Genomic DNA, 20,312 nt, shown 5'->3' on the forward strand with positions numbered 1-20,312 from the left:
CTGGCTAATTTTTTGTATTTTTAGTAGAGACGAGGTTTCACCGTGTTAGCCAGGATGGTCTCCATCTCCTGACCTTGTGATCCACCCACTTTGGCCTCCCAAAGTGCTGGGATTACAGGCATGAGCCACTGCACCCAGCCCCAGAGTAGGTCTTATTGAGAAGGTGATATTTTATAGGGGTTAAGCCATGTGTGGATATCTAGGGGGAGAACATTTCAGGAAGAGGAAACAGTGGAAATGCCTTAAGGCAGGAATGTGCCTGGCATGTCAGAAGAGTAAGAAAGCTATCTTGGCTGGAGCAGAGTGGGCAAGGAGGAGAGGAAGAGGTTAAAGAGCTTGTAGTCCCTTGAAAAGACTTTGGCTTTTATGTTGAGAGGCATATACTTCGGGGTTTTGAGCAAAGGATTGACACTTATGTTTTTTGTTTGTTTTTGTTTTTGAGATAGGGTCTCACACTGTTGCCCAGGCTGGAGTGCAGTGGTACGACCAAGGCTCACTGCAGCCTCAACCTTCCAGCCTCAAGCAATCCTCTTGAGTAGCTAGGACTACAGGCACATGCCACCATGCCCAGCTAATTTTTATTTTTTATTTTATTATTATTATTATTTGAGACAGAGTCTTGCCCAGGCTGGAGTGCAATGGCACGATGTCAGCTCACTGCAACCTCCGCCTCTCAGGTTCAAGCAATTATCCCTGCCTCAGCCTCTCAAGTAGCTGGGATTACAGGCGCCTGCCACCACACCCAGCTAATTTTTGTATTTTTAGTAGAGACGGGGTTTTGCCATGTTGGCTAGGCTGGTCTCGAACTTCTGACCTCAGGTGATCCGCCCACCCTCGGCCTCCCAAAGTGCTGGGATTATAGACGTGAGCCACTGCACCTGGCTACTAATTTTTAAATTTTTTGTAGAGATGGGGTCTCACTATGTTGTCATGGCTGGTGTTGAACTCCTGGGCTCAAGCGATCCTGCTACCTCAGGCTCCCAAAGTGCTGGGATTACAAGCATAAGCCACCATGCCCGGCTCAGAAATTCAATTTTGGACATTTTTGGTTGGAGGCATCCATTAGACTTCTGAGGGGAGATGTCAAGGAGAAATAGATATATGAGTTAAGAGTTTTTTTAAAAAGGGCTGGAGATTTAAAAAATTGGGCATTACTAGAATGAGTGGTATTTGAAGTCATTCGGCTGGATGAGATCATCAAAGGAGTGCCTATGGATACAAAAGACAAGAGGACAACTCTACTGTGGTTACTCTAACGTTAAGAATTATTGGAGGCTTGCTGGGCGCTGTGGCTCATGCCTGTAATCCCAGCACTTTGGGAGGCTGAGGCAGGTGGATCATGAGGTCAGGAGATCGAGACCAGCCTGGTTAACACGGTGAAATCCCATCTCTACTAAAAATACAAAAAGTTAGCCAGGCGTGGTGGCGGGCGCCTGTAATCCCAGCTACTTGGGAGGCTGAGGCAGGAGAATTGCTTGAACCTGGGAGGCGGAGGTTGCAGTGAGCCGAGATCGCACCACTGTACTCCAGCCTGGGTGACAGAGCAAGACTGTCTCAAAAAAGAAAAAAAAAAAAGAATTATTGGAGAGAAGAGGATGAACCAGTGAGGTGGAAGAAATACCAGGAGAGTATGTTCTCTCCAATGCAAATGAAGAAAATGTATCCAGGAGGAAGGAGTGATCAACCAGGTCAAATGCTACCAAAAGGCTAAATAAGAGAAGGACTGAGAATAACCATTAGGGTCCAGCAACACCAAGGCTATTGATGACCTTGACAAGAATAGTTCAGTGGAGTGTGGGAGTAAAAGATTGGCCAGAGGGATTTAAAGAGAGAACAGGAGAAAAAAAATTGGACGCACTTAGTATAGACAGCTATTTCAAGGAATTTTGCTGCAAAGGTGAGCAGAGGAATGGGGCAATAGCTGGTGGGGAAAGTGGAGTCAAAAAAAATTTTGAGATGGAGTCTTGCTCTGTCGCTAGGCTGGAGCGCAGTGGCGGGTGCAATCTCGGCTCACTGCAACCTTTGCCTCCCAGGTTCAAGCGATTCTCCTGCCTCAGCCTCCTGAGTAGCTGGGACTACAGGCACACGCCACCATGCCTAGCTAATTTTTGTATTTTTAGTAGAGACGGGGTTTCACCATGTTGCCCAGGATGGTCTCGACCTCTTGACCTCGTGATCCGCCCACCTCAGCCTCCCAAAGTGCTGGGATTACAGGCAGTAGCCACCATGCCCGGCCTCAAAAAAAATCTTTTTTAACATGTGGGTTGATACTTCACTCAATAGCTGCAGCTTATTGGTTGCTTTCCCAGTCTATTCTACCTCCAAAAGCTCTCCCAGATTTTTGTCTCTCCAGCCTGTTACCCCTGCCCTATGTCAGGCCCTCATCATCTTTTGTCTGCATTCCTACAGTAATAGTCCAGTGTGTCCTGCAGGCTGCCACCAGCAGAGTCAGCCTGAAAACCACTGGGCACAGTTCTCCCTTGCTGTTTCCTTTCCTAAAGGATGGAAATTGGATGCCTGGATGAGGGATGGATGCTGTTTCCTGTGTATGAATCAGGGTCCCAGCAGGAAAGACAGAACACACCCCAGTGAGAATAACGTGAGAGGCTGGGGGTGGTGGCTCATGCTTGTAATCCCAGCACTTTGAGAGACCGAGGCAGAAGGATTGCTTGAGCCCAGGAGTTTGAGATCAGCCTGGGCAACATAGTGAAAAGCCCCCTATACAAAAATACAAAAGTTGGCTGGATGTGGTGGCGGGTGCCTGTAGTTCCAGCTACTTGGGAGGCTGAGGTGGGGAGGATCACCTGAGCCCAGGGAGGTTGAAGCTGCAGTGAGCTGTGATTGTGCCACTGTATTCCAGCCTGGGCAACAGAGTGAGACCCTGTCTCAAAAAAAAAAAAAAAAAAAACAGAAAAGAAAAAAAGAATAATGTGAGACTTGACTAAAGGGACTGTTTCCATAGGAATGGGCAGGGTATAGGGAGATCACAAGGGTTAGTGCAGTTTCCTGAGACTGCTAACATGGCCTGTTTCCCCTAGGACTGAAGAAGGTCCCTGGAGGGGAGGGAATGGGAAGATACAGGTTCTGGAAATCTCAGTGAGGCTGAGGAGTGAGTTCCTCCCAAGAACCTGGAAATAAGGGTGGCTCCTGAGAGTTACAAAAAAACCCGTCTAGAACACATGTGGGAGTAAATCCAAAATGGCTGGTCTGTAAATGTGTGACTGAGTGTTTGGGAACCAACTAAAGTCTGTCAAGGGTGGTGGCTGAGGACGCCTCGGGGAGGTTGGGCTGGAGGGGGACCCTATTGGGTGAACAGAAATCCCAATTGTATTAAGTAAACTAATAAAGGTAAAGCGTTTACTGTAGTGTCCATCACTCAGCAAGCACTAAGGAAGTAGATGCTTTTTTTTGCTTTTTTTTTTTTTTTGTGAGACAGCGTCTCGATCTGTCCCCCAGGCTGGAGTATAATGACATATACAATGGCACCATCTTGGCTCACTGCAGCCTCTCACTCCTGGCCACCTCACCTGGCTGATGCTATCTTTTTTTTTTTTTTTTTGAGATTGGAGTCTTGCTCTATCACCAGGCTAGAGTGCAGTGGCACAATCTCGGCTCACTGCAACCTCTGCCTCCTGGGTTCAAGCAATTCTTCTACCTCAGCCTCCTGAGTAGCTGGGATTACAGGCATGCGCCATCACGCCCAGCTAATTTTTTGTATTTTTAGTAGAGATGGGGTTTCGCCATGTTGGCCAAGCTGGTCTCGAACTCCTGAGCTCAAGTAATCCACCTGCCTTGGCCTCCCAAAGTGCTGGGATTACAGGTGTGAGCCACTGCACCCAGCCCTGATGCTATTGTTAAACTCAGTTTGGAGAAAGGCTATGTGGACAGAAGATAGATCACAGGGAAGGGGGGGGTCCTAAAAGCACGTGGGGAAAACGTATATTCTGTCTTAGAGATGCTAGGACGAACTGTCTTTAGAATGAAGGCTGCCCCATGACAGGAAGCAAGGTTTTAAGGTTACTTGACTGAGAGACTCCTCATACCCTTTCCCCTCTTGGGGGTTCCAGACTCACTGAGCTAACTTTCTGGTAACTGGGCTTCCCAAGGGGTAGCCCAAACTGCCTTGATCTATTGATGCAGAAATTCAGTTCTGCTTGACAGTTTTATTTCTCTGTGCAAATTGATACCTAGCCTTCTGGGGTTTGTACATAGGCCTTTATTCTGGTCAAATGCCAGACCTGCGAAGGGAGTCGGATCCACTCACTGAACCAGTGAAACTGGGTTTTGGAGCCAGAGGTCTGGGAACCATGTCCCTCAAAACAGCCAAAGGTATCCATCTTTAGCAGAACTACCTTGTACCAGTTAATCTGCAATAAGTGACTAGGGAGAGAATGAAGGGAAGATCTAGCTAGACAGGGTAGACAAGACTCCAGGGTATAGCCAGGAAAGGGAGTCCTCCTGAAGCCTTTGCCTCATCTTAGGCACTTCCTCCTTCAGGAAGCTTTCCTTGATCCTTGCTCTACCCAGGCTGGGGTAGGTACCCTCATGTGCACTTTTCATGGCACTAACTAGTCACACTGGGCAGGGAGCATTTGTCTACTTGTCACAACATATCTGAGCTTTTGGAAAATAAGGATAATGTCTTATTTGTCTTTGTAGCTCAGGGGCCTGGTGCAGAGTAGGTACTCAGTTAATGTTTCTTGAGTGCATGACTTGGCTGAATGAATGACTGAGACAGAATGGATTGATTAAAGACAAGAGAGGGTGGACTGTAAGCCCCCCAGGATAGAAACCCCGACTGCCTTGTGGTGTACTACTCCCCAGTGCCCAGCACAGTGCCTAGCAGAATCAATGCCCAAAGTGTTCCCGATATGCTGACCGAGGGTCAGATCCCACTTGCCTCTTCTCGAAGATTCTCTACCTGACCACTTCTCTCCTTGCTGCCGCTGGCTAGCACAGAACATCCAGTCCCCGCTGCTGTACTAAGCAACACGGAACCGGGTGGCACCTAGACTTGTTCCCTGTCGCTGCAGATGTAGAGTAGTGTCTTTCCCTCCTTCCAAGCTAGTCGCCCAGGGCAGGGTCGCCCTGTCTGGCTAGGGTGCTGCACCCGCAGCTCTCGGTATCTTAGGTCAGACGCCTGGAACGCGCAGGCCGTTTCTGTTCCTCCGGAAAACAATCTCTGAGCTGCGCCACGACCCGTCCCTGCGGAGCAGGAGTGGGGAATGGGAAGGTGGGAAGGCGAGTCCGCGACTCTGCTCCCCAACCCCAGCTGGCGCGGCGGCTTTCCACGCACCCCCCTCCCCCCACCCCGATCTCCCGATCCTGGCTCTGGCGCGGTGCTCCTTGCAGCCCCACGCTTTGCAAACTTTCGGAGTTTTACTCCATTTGCGTCACGGAAAAGGCAGGAGGATGACGGAGTCCAGGAAGCGAGGCAGCGGCAGCTGGCAAGCTCCCCCGCCGGGCGCTCCAACCACGGGGGCGTGAGGTGTCTCCCGGCGAGGGCGGACAGGCGGAGGGAGAGGAGGGGAGGTGGCGGTCCCAGGGACCAGCCCCGGAGGCTCTCGGGCCCCCTCGTTCCCGGGTCGTTTCCTCCCTCTCGCCTCCCGGACTGAGCGCCAGCGAGCGAGGGCGCTGGCCAGCTGGGAAGCCGCGCGGAGGAGTAGGCGGGGGCTCGGCTGCAGCGCCCCGGGCCCGCGGGAGGGCGGAGCTGGCCGTCCCTGCCCCGCCGGGACGCACGGAAGTGCAGCGGAGTTTGCCCGATTCTCCAGCCTGCTTCCCCCTCCCTCCTCCCTCTCCCCACCCCTCACCTCCCCTTTGGCGATCCCCTCCTTCCTCAGGACGCCACCTCCCGGAATCGCCTTTTTGTTTTGGAGCTGCCTTCTCGCTGGCGGAGCGGAGGGTCTGCGAGCGCCGGGGAAGGCAGGCTGGGGGCGCAGCCCGCCCCCCACTGGCCGGGCCCCGCAGGGCGGAGAGGAGGACGGACGGACAGACGGCTGGCCGCGCCATCTGCTCGCCGGAGCTCACTCTCCAAACTCCAAACTGTTGAGTGTGTGCGTGCACGCGAGGGTGGTGATCGGGGGTCGTAAGTCCCGGGTGAGGAACCGGTTTCTGCTGGGGTTACCTTTGGACGGGGTTCCTGGGATTCAGAGCAGGGTCAGCGTCAGGCTCAGAAACTGCTGAGGAATTAGGCAAACAAAAGAGACCACTCAGCGAGTGGCTAGAAGTCGCCCGACAGCCTCGTCGCGCCCCCTCCTTCCTCCGGGGTTGGGGCTGGCCACTTCTGGGGCGGGGAGAGGGCGCCCGAGCCGGCGGGGGCTCCGGCTGCGCAGCCGGGGTCGAAGAGTTGGCGGCCTGTTGTGTAAGCCTCAGTCCTTGTTTTCCCGGCCTGGCTCGTTGTGAAGCCGGACACATCCACCCTTGGACTCGATTCAGGCGGCTGCTGCTTTTCTCCTTGCCCCTCTTGGATTTTCCGGATTTTTGAAAACCCAGTGGCCCAGGAGCAAGAGGAGGAAGGAGGAAGGGGCAGATCTGCAGAGGAATGTGAGAGCCTCCCAAAGCGAGAGCCGCCAAAAGAATCTGGGAGCCAGAGGGACAGCCGAGCCCTGCCCGGGTTTCTGGAATGGTGGTTTCAGAGTGAGTCTCTTCTATTTTAGAACGTTGTTCCAGTGGAAAGTGTCGAATTTTTCCCCTCGCAGGGCAGATTTCTCCAGGTCACTTGACTTTTCTTCTGGGAGTAGGAGTTAGGAGAGATTCCCCTCTAACCCCCCAGAGGCTGCTAAGGGAGGAGGAGACTGTGGACATGAGCCCTCCCTGCTCACAAGCATATGCCCGGAGACCTGATAGGGCAGTTTCTGGGCCATGGACATTGCTTTGAAGAGGGGGAGACTGGACAGCATCTGTGGGTGCTGAGACCCCACCTTAGGACCTGAGAGATTGAACTGTGTAAGCGCCATTCAGCTGCGAGTGCATTCTTGGACTGCCTTGTGAGCATCCCCGGTCTGGGCAGGACCCTCTCCTTCCCATCTTTCTATACCACCCAGCCCAGCCATGGCACTGAAAGGCCGAGCCCTCTATGACTTTCACAGTGAGAACAAGGAGGAAATCAGCATCCAGCAGGATGAGGACCTGGTCATCTTTAGCGAGACCTCACTGGATGGCTGGCTGCAGGGCCAGAACAGCCGTGGGGAGACAGGGCTCTTTCCTGCCTCTTATGTGGAGATCGTCCGTTCTGGCATCAGCACCAACCATGCTGACTACTCCAGCAGCCCTGCAGGCTCTCCCGGAGCCCAGGTGAGCTTGTACAACAGCCCCAGTGTGGCCAGCCCAGCTAGGAGTGGTGGGGGCAGTGGCTTCCTCTCAAACCAGGGTAGCTTTGAGGAGGATGATGATGATGACTGGGATGACTGGGACGACGGATGCACAGTGGTGGAGGAGCCACGGGCTGGTGGGCTGGGCACCAACGGGCACCCTCCCCTCAACCTCTCCTACCCTGGTGCCTACCCCAGCCAGCACATGGCCTTCCGGCCCAAGCCACCACTGGAGCGGCAGGACAGCCTGGCATCTGCCAAGCGAGGCAGTGTGGTGGGCCGTAACCTCAACCGTTTCTCATGCTTTGTGCGTTCTGGAGTGGAGGCCTTCATCCTGGGTGATGTGCCCATGATGGCCAAGATCGCTGAGACATACTCCATTGAAATGGGCCCTCGTGGCCCCCAGTGGAAGGCCAATCCCCACCCATTTGCCTGCTCTGTGGAGGACCCCACAAAACAGACCAAATTCAAGGGCATCAAAAGCTACATCTCCTACAAGCTCACACCCACCCATGCTGCCTCACCCGTCTACCGGCGCTACAAACACTTTGACTGGCTCTATAACCGCCTGCTACACAAGTTCACTGTCATCTCGGTGCCCCACCTGCCTGAGAAGCAGGCCACTGGCCGCTTCGAGGAGGACTTCATCGAAAAGCGGAAGCGGAGACTCATCCTCTGGATGGACCACATGACCAGCCACCCTGTGCTCTCCCAGTACGAAGGCTTCCAGCATTTCCTCAGCTGCCTGGATGACAAGCAGTGGAAGATGGGCAAACGCCGGGCGGAGAAGGATGAGATGGTGGGTGCCAGCTTCCTGCTCACCTTCCAGATCCCCACCGAGCACCAGGACTTGCAGGACGTGGAAGATCGCGTGGACACTTTCAAGGCCTTCAGTAAGAAGATGGACGACAGCGTCCTGCAGCTCAGCACTGTGGCATCAGAGCTGGTGCGTAAACATGTGGGGGGCTTCCGCAAGGAATTCCAGAAGCTGGGCAGTGCCTTCCAGGCCATCAGTCATTCCTTCCAGATGGACCCCCCCTTTTGCTCTGAGGCCCTCAACAGTGCCATTTCTCACACGGGCCGTACCTATGAAGCCATCGGGGAGATGTTTGCTGAGCAGCCCAAGAATGACCTCTTCCAGATGCTGGACACACTGTCTCTCTACCAGGGCCTGCTCTCCAACTTCCCTGACATCATCCATCTACAAAAAGGTAAGGCCCAGTGCAGGCAGGAAACTCGTCCTGAGTCTGGCTCTCTGCTGGGCCCTGGGGAGATGGGGATGGCCTGGATAGAATGGAGCAACTTGTCTTTATTTCTCTGTCTCAATCATTCATTTAACAAATGTGTTGGGCTGGGCACGGTGGCTTACGCTTGTAATCTCAGCACTTTGGGAGGTTGAAGTAGGAGGATCACTTGGGCCCAGGAGGTTGAGACTACAGTGAGCCCGATTGTGCCACTGCACTCCAGCCTGGGTGACAGAGTGAGACCCTGTCTCTAAAACAAACAAACAAACAAACAAACAAACAAATGTGTTGAATATCAACTCTGTGTCTGTGGCAAATGTGCTTCTAGGTGCAGGGATATTGTTGTGCACAGGCCCGGTCTCTGTCCTCATGGAGCTTGATATTTACCTTCTTGTCAGTTCATTCATTTTCTCTGTTTGCATCTCGTTTACCCATCATGCATGGTGTCATGCTGGGTTCTGAGAACACATAGATGACCAGGCCCCAGGCCTTGCCCTTGAGGAGCCGGTAGGCCCTTGGGAGACACAGACCCAACCCAGATAACAAGAGCTCAGAGTGGGGGCCTGTCTTGTGCTCCTTGCAAGTTAACCTCCCCACCTTTGCAGCTTTGGAAGCTACTCTCACCACTGTGTATTCTCTTTATGAGCGTCTTGTCTGTGTGCAGGAAGATCCCTGTCCCCATTTTGCAGATGAAGGAGCTAGTGTCCACAGAAGAGTGGTTGCACAGCCTGTGGCCCGGCTGGGACTGTCCCTTCCTCCTGCCACCTCCCCAAGGACACGTCCATGTTGGCCACTTCCCAAGCCTAGCCATGTTTTCAGTTCTCATGACCCCCTCTGTGGGGGAGGGACAGGATGGGCCTCTGCCTGTTACTGCTGGGGCTGTCCATGAACTGCCGGGGAAATGACTCATCCTGGGTCACACAGGGGCACTCTGGCTGGGCCAGGGGTGCAGAATCAGGGGTCCAGGGCACTGTCCACATGGCCTATCCAACTCCTGCTTCCCAAGCCTGGCTTCTCTTCTTGCCTGAGGAGAGAGCCAGTGGCTGCCCCAGCAGGTGCCTGAGTCCTGGGCACAGCTGGGAGGGCAGATGTCAGGAGAGAGGTGTGATCCTCCCTGGGGCTGCTTGGTAACTCGTCTGCAGGGCGTGGAGCTGGCTCCCTGGCCCTTGGGCCCTGAGGTTAGACCTGGCTTGGTGGGGAGTTTGACTCTGGGTGGGGCCAGGGGGCAGACCTCTGCACTGAGCCTGGGGAACAGGAAACATGTCACCCACCACCACCAGGGAGGGCCTGGGGTAAGCTGGCCTTGCTTTCCTTTACCAAGAGGTTGACTTCTATAACTTCTCCAGCTCCCAGCCTCCTTTCTCCCCTTGCTATATCCTCTTCCTCTTCCTTTCTTTCTGTTTTTTTTTTTTTTTCTCTCATCTCTACCTTTCTTCCTCCTCCTCTGAACTCCAGGAAACACAAACCTGAGTGCTAGTCTTGGCTCTGCCCCTAGATTGCTGTGCGTCCCCGGGGAGTGCCTTTGCCCCTCTGGGCCTTAGTTTCCTGATCTGTAAAACAAGGGAATGGGGTCCCAGTGAGCCATCAGGCCTTCAAGGGAGTGGGTGGGAAGGGACTCCTGGGGAGGGTATGGCTCAGAAACAGAATGACACCTTAGCTCTGGCTCTGAGCACTGGGGCAGGAGTAGGGCAGGGGAGGTGGCCAGGCCTGCTGGGGGCCCACTGGGGCAGGTGTCTCCCTGAGCACAAGTGGGAAGGCTGGTTCAACCAGCTCCTTAGATGGCTTGTTCCTGTGCAGGCAGCAGGAGGGGGAATGCAATGATTAAACAGATGCTCCCATGCAGTGGCTGGGGACCCCCCACCCAGAGCAGAGCTGAGGACATTAGGGCAGCCCCACACCTAGGAAGGACACCAGGGCCTCCCAGGCTGGGGGGAAGCCAGACCAGCCTTTCTGACCCTGGGCAGAGAGACAGAGCTGAGATAGGCCATTTCTGAGTTTCTACTTGAGGTGTTTCTAAGAGTCAGAGGCCACTGTCCTCTGTGCTGGTGCATTTGACCTGAAACAGAGGCCAGCCCACTGCCTTCCCTCCCCGGGAGGACCCCTCCCAATGGGCCAAGCCCTCTCTGGCTTACTCTAAGTTCTGGGCTCTGCACTGCTCCTCCCAGGCCTGTGGTGTGGGGCAAGTTAGGGAGGGGGTACTGAGACAGAACTGGACAGGCTTTGGGGACCACAGCCCAATGGGAGTGATAAGGAGGGGGTCCTAATGCTGGCCTTAGGGGTGGAGCCCTTCTCAAAGAAAAGAGAAGAACAGTTGGGTCCTGGGCCCCCAGGATTCTGTCCAGCCTGTCTGGACATCTGAATGGGTGGTGAGTGTGTGGGAGGAAGGACAGTGGAGGCCTAGGTGGGAGTCAGGAGACCAGGATTTGGACAAACTTTGCATCTGACATGACTTTGGGAGAGATTTCTCCCCTCAGTCTCTAGGTGAGTAAAATGGGACCCGAGGGTCTTCATTTCCTTAGGAGGGCTCCATGTCATGTGAAACTTACATTAAACAAATTTGTATGCTTTTCAGAAAAATAATAAAATGAAATAAAATGGGACATAAACCCTGGCTGGAGCTGAGAGGAGCCTGGTCCTCCCACGGGCCTAGTCCCTGTAGCCCAATCCAGGGGTCTCCTAAGAGAAGGGTAACCATATAATTAACCAGGGCAGTTTGGGGCATAAAAGGGGGCCCTAGCAATAGTGATCCCGGGACAACAGGGGAAAGTAACTGTCCAGGGCAAGCTGGGACGTATGGACCCCCAACTTGACAGCCAGCAAGAGCGGGGCTGGTCCTAAGGCTCACGACAGGTCAGGAGGGCGATGTGGTCACTTCCGTTTTACAGACGAGGTGCAGCGATGCAGATGAGCCTCAGAGCAGGAGCTGGAGTCCAGTGTGTCTGGCTCCGCAGCCCAGGCTGTTTCCACTGTGCCCTCCCAGATGGGGGAGGGGATCCCCAGGGATGGAGAGCTGAGCCAGAAGGCGAAAGAGGAGGGAGGAAGGCTTGGGTGCTCCTTCACTGGTCCTGTGGGCTAGAGAGAGGCCCAGGACCACAGAGCTTCCATGGAGGGGCCATAGGGACAGCGTGGCCAAGGCAAAGTGGCGACTGTAGGGACAAGTTCTTGCCTGGGGGATGGGTGGGTTCAGCCTCTGGGTTCTGAGCCATCATCTAGCCTTCCCTCTACCGCTCATCCTGTAATCTCAGCACTTTGGGAGGCCGAAGTGGGCGGATCACAGGAGTTCGACACCAGCCTGGCTAACATAGTGAAACCCTGTCTCTACTAAAAATACAAAAAAATAGCCAGGCATGGTGGCAGGTGCCTGTAATCCCAGCTACTTGGAAGGCTGAGGCAGAAGAATTGCTTGAACCCAGCAGGCGGAGGTTGCAGTGAGCCGAGATCAAGCCACTGCACTCCAGCTTGGGCAGCAGAACAAGACTCCATCTCAAATTAAAAAAAAAAAAAAAAAAGAAAAGAAAAGCAGTTTTCAAGCCATAACATGTAGCATCTGGAGCTTCTATTGTATCTCAGGTGCGCTCCTTTGAACTGTGTACATATTAGTTCAGTTAAGCCTCAACTATACTATAGGGCAGGTACTATTATTATCCCATTTTACAGATGTGGAAACTCCTTAAAGCACTATACCGTGTGAGAGGTTGTCAACAGCATCACATCTAGTGCAACCTGTCCCACTGGGCAGTGGGGAGACCTGGAGCCCAGGCAAGAGCAGTGGCTTGCTGGAGAGGATACAGCTAGGACTAGGACTCAGACCTCCTGCTCCCTCCTGCCCCCAACCTGGGGTGGATGTTAACTGTCTCCAAGAGGCAGGGGCAAGATGGATTGAGGTGGGAGCTTAGGGAATATCCCTGGGACTTGCAGCTGGTGGGCTCCAACCCTCCTTTCTGCATTTTTGGGACCCAGCCTGTAAGAGGAGTGCTGAGGCAGGAGGTCCCCCTGGGTCCTCAGCTCTCAGGTTAAGTCTTAAGTAGAATGTCGGGGGGATGCTGGACAGGCCTGAGCCCTGACTCCCAGCCTGTGGGGTGGGGTGCATTAGCATTAGCTGGTCCTGGCCCCAGAGCTGAGTCACAGGGTGGAGGGGTAACGGAGAACAGGGTGGGGCCTCTGTTTCCCCCCGACCTCTGCAGCCTTTGCTCCCCATCCCTGGCCTCCTGCCTGTCTGTGGATACCTAACCATTGCAATGGGTTCATTCTTACTCTTTGGGCTCCTCATCAGCAAAAGAGGCCTTTCCTTCCTCTAAGGCCATGGACAGGAAAAGTCTATAGATGCACTTCCACTGTGCCAACTTTCTCGGCAGGTGGAATCCAGGCTAGTTCAGTATCTCCTCTTTAGCTAGGTTCCTTCTGCGGAAGTTTAACTCCAGTTTCTTCACCCTGCTGTTTTCTACCTTTCTTCTTACGGTTCTTCCTACTCCTTGGGACCTTCTTGAATCCCTGTGTCCAACGTCTGGGGGCCCCACACATATGCCTGAAGGACCTGGCATGGGCTCCCTGCAGCAGAAGTGGTGTCCGACCCCCAGCTGTGGAGGACCAGGCAGGAAAGAGGCTGGGAGTCCTGGGCAAGTTCCTGCCCCTCAGGGCCTTGGCCTCCTCTGTACAGTAGTAGGATGGAGGTGGAATCGAGGGTTGGACACCTGATCTTTTGGGCCTTTCTAGCTCTGAAGTCTCTTACTGGGTCCTATCCTGGGCCTTGGGGTGATCCCCCTTCTGCTGCCCAGGGCTGGGCTGTTGAGATGGTGCAGGAGGTGGTCCAGGGAAGGTGGCAGAAGGACTGAGTGGGCTGGGAGCTGGGGAATGCAGATTTCTTTTGGGCGCTGTGTGAGCAGCCCTGGAGACTCTCTGAACTTGAGTCTGTTTGCCTGAAATGCTACTATTAGCCGATTAGCCATGCACTTATCAACTAACATGGATGTTGCCCCTTCTAAAGGCATCCAGAGTTATTCCCAGCATGTAGAGCCCTGGGCCTGATATACAGTAAGTGCTCAATGAATGCATTTAGAATGCACTGGACAATTTGAGCCAGGGAGTGAAGAGAATATTATCTAGACAGCCCTCAAGAGCCCTCCTTAAAGGAGAAGTGGGAAAGCATGGGTATTGAGCATGCTATCTGTGTGTAGTGGGTGCGTTTGCAGTGCTCAGGGGTGTGCTGTCCTCTATGCCAACCCTTCCCTGCTCCTAATCTTCTTTGTATGGTGGATTCTCTGCAGCCCTCGGCGACTGAGTGCCAGGCACAGGCAAACTTCCTTCTCTTCCCAGCAACTGTCCCCACTGGCTTAAAGGCAGAATTCGTCAAGTCCCTTTTAATTCAGAACTGAAATTCATTCACCAGCTGCTTGTTCATTCATTCAGATTCTTCTAAATTGGGTCCTCTGCCCAGGTTCATCTCCACCCCCCATCTGTCACCTGGTTATTACACAACCTCCTCGAGTTCCCTGGGGGCTGGGATGAGGAGGGAACAGGGCGTGCATGTCTGGGAGATACACCAGGTGGCCTTTGAAGAGTTGTTTTAGAATCAGCAGTGTGATGGGGGTGGGGGTGGGGAGCCAGGGCACAGGTGACATGGGAGAGACATTCTGTCAGGGGAACTGGGAGAGGCTCCAGTGTAGAAGTGGCACCTGATCGGGGCCATGAATTATGAATAGGAATCCAGGGGGCAGAGGTAGGAAGGTAGGAAAGAGCCAGGTGAGTTTGACGAACATGGGGGTCAGTGTGGAATGCGTGCAGGGGCCAACTCCCAGAGGTGAGGGCCCCCCAGGCCAGGCAGATTGGTGTGGACCTTGATCTGTAGGTAGTGGAGAGCTAGGAAAGGTGCCCAGCTTGGGATACCTCTTTAGATGCTGCAGAGAACCTGTCAGAGGCTGGGGCGGAGGGCAGGGAGACGTGGCGGGGCTGTTGTAGCAGTCCAGTGAGGGACAGGGTTGAATCAGTTCAGCAGGCCTATATCAGGATCTGCTGTGGGCCAGGCCTTGTTCTGGGTACCAGAGACACAGAGAGGTTGAGGACAGGCTCTATCCTCATTGAATTCATAGTCCATCAAGCAGGGCTGTGACTGGTCACATGTGGGCTACTGGTGGCACTGCACATTTGGAGAGAAGATGATGTGCTTGGTTTAGGAGGTGCTGAGGGTGATGGCTTGGGTAACATCCTGGCAGAGACACCCAGGTGGCTGGAATGTGGGTCTGGGGCTCAGGAATGACGTCCGAGTTGAGCTGATGAGGGTGCTGTCTGCCCTCAAGGGTACAGGGAGCACATGGAGATCAGAGCCCTCACACGCTGTCCTCTGCTCTGCCTATGCCAGGCGCCTTCGCCAAGGTGAAGGAGAGCCAACGCATGAGTGACGAGGGCCGCATGGTGCAGGACGAGGCAGACGGCATTCGCAGGCGCTGCCGCGTGGTGGGTTTCGCCCTGCAGGCCGAGATGAACCACTTCCACCAGCGCCGTGAGCTCGACTTCAAGCACATGATGCAGAACTACTTGCGCCAGCAGATCCTCTTCTACCAGCGGGTGGGCCAGCAGCTGGAGAAGACCCTGCGCATGTATGACAACCTCTGACCGCGTGTGCCTGGGCCCCCTCCTTCCCCTGGGCCTGGTCACTGCAGTGTACCCCACTTTCCCGACCTCCCTATACCAGCAGTGACTGGGGGAGGGGTCAGCGGTGGGGGAGATAAGCGGCCTGTCCTGCCTCCTGGGAGAAGGAGCTTTCAAGGAGTCATGGGTGCCCCTGGGAAATTCCCCACTCCTTAGAAGTGGGGCACAGCAGGGGTGAGAATAGAGTCAGGAGCCCTCGAGGCCAAGGCCTGGGCTGCCGGTCAGTCAGTGAAGGTCAGGCCAGGGTCTCAGCCTCCCCTAGAGCCTATTTTGCTTGCTCACCTGGCCACTGCTGCCTTATCCATTCAGCAGACACCGAGGCCTGCTGCACCCTTGGGTCGGATGCTGGGCACCCAGGGCTGTGACATGCCTGCTCTTCAGGAGTCCTCAGTGAAGGTCGGGGTCAGACACAGACAGAGTCAATGCAGTATGACTGATGTTTAAGTGAGGGATTTCTGGAAGCTCATAGAAGGGACCACAGCATTCCACTGGTCAGGGAAGACTCCATAGAGTAGGCAACATTTGGGCAGTGTTTTGAAGAATGACAAGGGCCTGCCAGACAGTACATGGGGGAGAAGGACTTTCAGGGGAGAGGAACAGCATGGGCAAAGTTATGGAGGCATGCAAACATCTCCCTCTTCTCTCCCTTACTTTCCAAGCAAGTTAGGTACGCTTTCCATGGGGATTCTGGCCTGTGTGGTAGGAAGGGATCTCCCTTGCTCCCATGTTGCTGGCTGTCCGTACATCACCCTGTCCCCTGCAGGAGGGGGCTACAGGCCATCTCCCTCCTGTAGGCCTCTGACTCCCCTCCACTTTTGGGCCCTCAGCTTATCTCGGGCAGGGGACCATTGCAGCATCCTCCCCTCCTCGGACTCAAGGTGCTGAGGTATAAGCCCTGGGCCCCAGATCCCTGGTGACACCTTCCTGGAGAAGACTCTCAAAAGTGACTGTATATTTGAGTTCACCAGCAATAACTCCCCACACTCGAAGCAGGTCCAAACCCAGGATCTCAGGGTCCTTGGGCTCTGTGGCACTGTCTTCCCAAGATCCTTCCTGTTGCACAATGGGAAACCTAAGAGGAAAAAGACAGGGGCCTGCTTGCCCAGCCATGCGAGGGATTCCATGCCCACCTGCCCTCTGTCTGCCTCGCTGGAATGTGGGCCCCTGCTCCCCGTCAGGTTGTGCTGTCTCTGACCTATGTTTACATCCCCGAGGGGTTTCTGCCTCCTCCCCACCCAGGTCAGGGTGTGGTCCAGCAGCTTGCTGTGGGGTGCTGACATGTGTCACCACTGCCCCCCTTGCCCCCGGGGGGGTCATGGTCTCCTCCTGGATGCTGCTCCTTGAATCTTTTTTCTTGATAAACCTTTTACAATTAAGATAACACAAGCATGACTTTTTCTGTTTGGATCCCAGAAAGGCGGAGGGCAGGAGAAGGATAGAGCCCTAATTGCTCCTGAGAGCCATTGGATGAGATTCTGAGGTCGTGGTGGGCACAAATTTTCCACAGAACCTCAAAAGTTCAGGGGAGGGCTATGCTGGTGGAAGGTGCCAGCAGGCAGGAGGAGCTAGAGGCGGCTGTGGACCCCTGGGTGGATCCATCCCTCCCTAGAACGCACTCTTGTCTCTAAAACAGGTGGAGTGCTGCCCAGGGGACTGGCTGTACTGCCTTGTGATCTGGGGCTGAGGGTTGTATGAGGAAGGGACAGGACGCTGTGCCCTAGGACAATTAATAGATGGTGGCTCCTCTCCCCAAGGAGCCATGCCCTGGCCTTGCCCTTGAAAAGCCCTAGTCCAGGGGAGGGAAGTGGGGGACTCAGAAGCTGTGTCTCTTCCCCAAACCGTCCTGGGTACCCAGCCCTGCGGAGGCTCCCACATTGGAAACTGAAGAGGACGCTGGCTGTTGGGGGTGCCCTGATCAGGATGAGCGGACCTTGCTCTTGGATCTGTTCATCCACAGATGAGAGGAGGGTACTGGTTGAGACTTGGCTCTCCTTTGGAGGCAATGGGGACTTGGTGGAGGGAGGGCTTCCAGGGTCAAGGCCGTCAGGGAAGGTTGGCTAGACCAGGGACCAGGGAGCTTGTGCAGGAAGATGGAGAAGGGCCAGCAGGTGCGGTGGGGGAAGGGGCGGGCAGGACTCCCTGTTCAGGGCATAGCGTCCTCAGAGGAACTTCTGGAATGGGTCCCCCTGGCCCTTGGTCAACATTAGGTCAGATTTGGGACTTTCTGAGGAATTTTCCCCTCTCTCCACCCTGCCCCATTTTCTAACCCATCCGAGGAACTTCCCGCCCTTAACCTCTTCTCAGCTCTGCCATCCATGTAGCCATCTGCAGAAGGGGCTCTGAGCAGTGGGGGCTGGGCCAGGCCGAGGCAGGGCTGGTGGGAATGCTCCTCCTAACCCATGGTGCCTGGAAAGTCCCCTGCTCATGCTTCCTGCTCTGGGAACAGTGTTGTCCTCTGTGTGCCTTCCTTGAGAGGGGACCACCTCCCAGGCCTTCCATCCTCAGGGTGAGGCCATCAGTCTGATACTTTTCTCAGGAGGGACTTGGATCCAGGAGAAGCATCAGGAAGTGGAGTCTTGGGATAATGCCAGGCCTGCTCCTGGTATCCTGAGGTCTCTGGGCTGGGGCAGGTGTGTGTGTGGCAGGGAGGGAGGCTGTCCTGGCCCTCCTCTCTCTTTTCTTTCTGCCTCTATGGGGGTGGGGGTATTGGGGGAACTTGGGGCCGTTCTGGGGTAGCTAAGCCCCTTTCAGCAGGAGATTGGGGGACCAGTGTTGGGGGCATCCTGGTGATGGCCGATTCCTGCCTCGTCACATGCCAGGCAGATGTTCCCGACTCGGCTGGACCCAGCTGCCTCGTTTCCTCCCTTACTTTGCTCTGAGGGGGTGGAAAACAAGGCTTCTCTTTCTGCCCTGGACAGCTACCAGCACCCGGGGTAGGGGATCCCCTGGTCACCAGTCTTGGCCCAGTACAGGAAAAGGAATCCGCTTTGTGGCCACAGATGGGGGCTGGGGATGGAAGCAGACCTCAGATCCTGCATCTCTTCACCCGCTGGACACAGGAGGGCTATGAACCACTGTGCCGTGGCTGCACCACTGGCTGGAGCAGAGCCAGGCCTGGGAGAGGCAGGTGGCCCCATCGGCCCCTGCTCTGCACCACCCCTCCCAGATGACAGAGCCATATGTCTTCCACGTGTCTACACACTCACAGACTCACGAATGTAATCGCTCAGTCTCACAACAAGCACACGCAGTCACACACCTGCCCACAGGCACATACGCCACATAAGCATGCCTGTATGCTCACACAGTCATACTGCCACACGCTATTACACATTCACAGCCACAGCCACACATGCCTTGCCATCCATTCAAAGCACCAGTGGCTACTTTGTCAGACACAGCCACACCACAGTCCTATGCACATGGTCATAGCCTCACACAGTGACACATACTCGGGCACACACCGCCACAAAGCCATGCTTGCACAGAGCAAAGGTGTCATAAGCATCTCTGTGCCTGGACTGCACCTGCATGACCTCCCAGGGTCCCCACCTCATCAGAGATTAAGGAGAGCTTTGCTTGGAGACACCACCCCTGGAGGGGGTGTCTCCAAGGGGGAGTAGAGCCAGTCACAAGCACCACATACAGGCACACAGCCTGAGGTCTAGGGATGCAATTGGGATGACTGGATACCACCAAGTTCAGCTCCTTATTGAACAGATGGGCGCCTGAGGCCCAGGGAGCAGTGGTGGCTGGCCTTATCACCCAGCAGGGCAGGGGATACTCTGGGGCCAGAGCCTGGCTCTGGGCAGACTCTGTTTCCTGGCCCTGCCCTCCCCTGGGCCAATCCTCTGGGCCAGGCTGCCTCTGAAGGCCCCTGGCTGAACCGATCCAGCAGAGCTCCAGGCAGCTCCCTTCTCAAGCTAGAGCTGAGCTGCAGTGGCCACGGGAGCCGGAGCCAGGATGCGGTGGGCAGGGCCTAGGCCTGGGCGGGAGGAACATTCCTGCACCATCTCCTCCCCAAGCATGTGAGGACCCAGCCCGCCCTGCCCGCCTGCCCGCTGACTCAGGCCTCCAGGAGCCAAGCCTGCTCAGCTCCCCCACCCACCCTAACCTGCTTCCCCACTAGTTCGGCTCTGGTTCCCCTCTCCACTGGCTGGGGCAGGAGAAGACGGTGAGCCCTGGTAGGAAGACCATGGGGAAAAATCAAACCTCACCACCCCCCGACATAGCTCAGAAGGGCTGATTGTGAAACCCAGCTCTGTTCAACATAGTTGAACACAAACTTTTTTTTTCTTTTGGTTTGGTTTTGTTTTGTTGGTCAAACCCCAGTGCAGTGCAGTCTGTTTAAGAAGTAGTGTCGCATAGCTGTGGCCTGGATCTGCTCAGCAGCCCCAGTAGGCAGCATTTATTCCCTTTCGCAACAAAGAGACTGAGACTTGGCCAGAGGGAAGATGGGACCTGCCTAGGTTCACACAGGGAATCTCTGGCGGGGCTGGACTCAAACCCAGCTCCCTGCCATCACTCCTTAGAGTCACACTGATGAACTCATTTAGGGCCAAAGGAAGAAGGGGAGGCAGATTTCCCCTCTAGATGAGTGAAGGGATAGGAGGCTGGTGAACCCAACGGCTGAAATGTGAAGGGTGAGAGGGTAGGGTGAGTCCCCCCAGCCCTGAGGGATGAAGGGTCTGAAGATGGCACTGCACGGTGACAGCTGCAGTGACTCAGGAGCTCCGTTTACAAAGGAACATGAGTGAGGAACATAACTTAATTTTTTTTTATATCTGACCTGAATTTCTGTTTTCCTCCCCCATTCCCCACATGGTAGAAGTGTAATCTCACATCAATTTGGGGACCCTTTCTTTCCCCAGGGATGTGTAGAACTTTTGGGGATGGCACATTTGAAGACCTTAGGGAGCTTTGCATTTTAAAGGCTGAATCCCACACTCTATCATACATATTAATATTTACCTGCATTCCACATTAAAGGGTTCAGTTTATGACTTGTGTCCTGTCTTGTAGATACTTAATTAAACGGTATTAATTTTGATTTTGCCCCTTTCTGTTGGTGCTCTGCTCTCTTCCCTCCTCCCCGCCCTGCCCACCCAGCAGC

The 20,312-nt window shown here is 54.7% G+C and overlaps 1 protein-coding gene across 2 annotated transcripts, besides 10 other annotated features; it reads left to right on the forward strand.

Annotated features, from left to right (window-relative positions):
• Nucleotides 5,479-6,018: a silencer, noted in NCBI's record as "silent region_6677". NCBI's record gives its function as "represses an Ori minimal core promoter by ATAC-STARR-seq in GM12878 lymphoblastoid cells {active_cell/tissue: GM12878}" and the evidence as "EXISTENCE:reporter gene assay evidence [ECO:0000049][PMID:35858748]".
• Nucleotides 5,479-6,335: a biological region, named in NCBI's record as "H3K27ac hESC enhancer GRCh37_chr15:75940037-75940728".
• Nucleotides 5,644-6,335: an enhancer, noted in NCBI's record as "H3K27ac hESC enhancer chr15:75940037-75940728 (GRCh37/hg19 assembly coordinates)". NCBI's record gives its function as "activates a minimal SCP1, AML or CMV promoter by ChIP-STARR-seq in naive H9 embryonic stem cells {active_cell/tissue: H9 hESC(naive)}" and the evidence as "EXISTENCE:reporter gene assay evidence [ECO:0000049][PMID:30033119]".
• SNX33 (sorting nexin 33) lies at nt 5,860-20,249 on the forward strand. Of its 2 annotated transcripts, NM_001318146.1 has the most exons (3): nt 6,955-8,256; nt 8,479-8,521; nt 14,910-16,575. In NM_001318146.1, the coding sequence occupies exons 1-3, from the start codon at nt 7,051-7,053 to the stop codon at nt 15,161-15,163; spliced, it is 1,503 nt and encodes a 500-aa protein (NP_001305075.1). In that variant the 5' UTR covers nt 6,955-7,050; the 3' UTR covers nt 15,164-16,575. The 2 variants fall into 2 exon arrangements, with proteins under 2 accessions (NP_695003.1, NP_001305075.1); NM_153271.2 differs by having other exon boundaries at nt 5,860-8,521; nt 14,910-20,249.
• Nucleotides 9,033-9,969: an enhancer, noted in NCBI's record as "H3K4me1 hESC enhancer chr15:75943426-75944362 (GRCh37/hg19 assembly coordinates)". NCBI's record gives its function as "activates a minimal SCP1, AML or CMV promoter by ChIP-STARR-seq in naive and primed H9 embryonic stem cells {active_cell/tissue: H9 hESC(naive and primed)}" and the evidence as "EXISTENCE:reporter gene assay evidence [ECO:0000049][PMID:30033119]".
• Nucleotides 10,934-11,486: an enhancer, noted in NCBI's record as "H3K27ac-H3K4me1 hESC enhancer chr15:75945327-75945879 (GRCh37/hg19 assembly coordinates)". NCBI's record gives its function as "activates a minimal SCP1, AML or CMV promoter by ChIP-STARR-seq in primed H9 embryonic stem cells {active_cell/tissue: H9 hESC(primed)}" and the evidence as "EXISTENCE:reporter gene assay evidence [ECO:0000049][PMID:30033119]".
• Nucleotides 11,487-12,038: an enhancer, noted in NCBI's record as "H3K27ac-H3K4me1 hESC enhancer chr15:75945880-75946431 (GRCh37/hg19 assembly coordinates)". NCBI's record gives its function as "activates a minimal SCP1, AML or CMV promoter by ChIP-STARR-seq in primed H9 embryonic stem cells {active_cell/tissue: H9 hESC(primed)}" and the evidence as "EXISTENCE:reporter gene assay evidence [ECO:0000049][PMID:30033119]".
• Nucleotides 14,838-15,339: an enhancer, noted in NCBI's record as "H3K4me1 hESC enhancer chr15:75949231-75949732 (GRCh37/hg19 assembly coordinates)". NCBI's record gives its function as "activates a minimal SCP1, AML or CMV promoter by ChIP-STARR-seq in naive H9 embryonic stem cells {active_cell/tissue: H9 hESC(naive)}" and the evidence as "EXISTENCE:reporter gene assay evidence [ECO:0000049][PMID:30033119]".
• Nucleotides 15,340-15,839: an enhancer, noted in NCBI's record as "H3K4me1 hESC enhancer chr15:75949733-75950232 (GRCh37/hg19 assembly coordinates)". NCBI's record gives its function as "activates a minimal SCP1, AML or CMV promoter by ChIP-STARR-seq in naive H9 embryonic stem cells {active_cell/tissue: H9 hESC(naive)}" and the evidence as "EXISTENCE:reporter gene assay evidence [ECO:0000049][PMID:30033119]".
• Nucleotides 17,812-18,385: an enhancer, noted in NCBI's record as "H3K4me1 hESC enhancer chr15:75952205-75952778 (GRCh37/hg19 assembly coordinates)". NCBI's record gives its function as "activates a minimal SCP1, AML or CMV promoter by ChIP-STARR-seq in naive H9 embryonic stem cells {active_cell/tissue: H9 hESC(naive)}" and the evidence as "EXISTENCE:reporter gene assay evidence [ECO:0000049][PMID:30033119]".
• Nucleotides 19,534-20,107: an enhancer, noted in NCBI's record as "H3K27ac hESC enhancer chr15:75953927-75954500 (GRCh37/hg19 assembly coordinates)". NCBI's record gives its function as "activates a minimal SCP1, AML or CMV promoter by ChIP-STARR-seq in naive H9 embryonic stem cells {active_cell/tissue: H9 hESC(naive)}" and the evidence as "EXISTENCE:reporter gene assay evidence [ECO:0000049][PMID:30033119]".
• Nucleotides 20,250-20,312: the final 63 nt, after the last annotated feature.

The sequence above is a fragment of the Homo sapiens genome, chromosome 15 (assembly GCF_000001405.40).
Source record: "Homo sapiens chromosome 15, GRCh38.p14 Primary Assembly".
In the NCBI taxonomy this organism is placed as follows: Eukaryota; Metazoa; Chordata; class Mammalia; order Primates; family Hominidae; genus Homo; species Homo sapiens.

Excerpts from the sequence above, each read along its gene's own strand:
- SNX33 (NM_153271.2), top strand. The coding sequence starts at position 7,051 with ATGGCACTGAAAGGCCGAGCCCTCTATGACTTTCACAGTGAGAACAAG. Across the intron at positions 8,522-14,909 it reads CATCATCCATCTACAAAAAG|GCGCCTTCGCCAAGGTGAAG; the intron begins GTAAGGCCCAGT and ends TGCCTATGCCAG.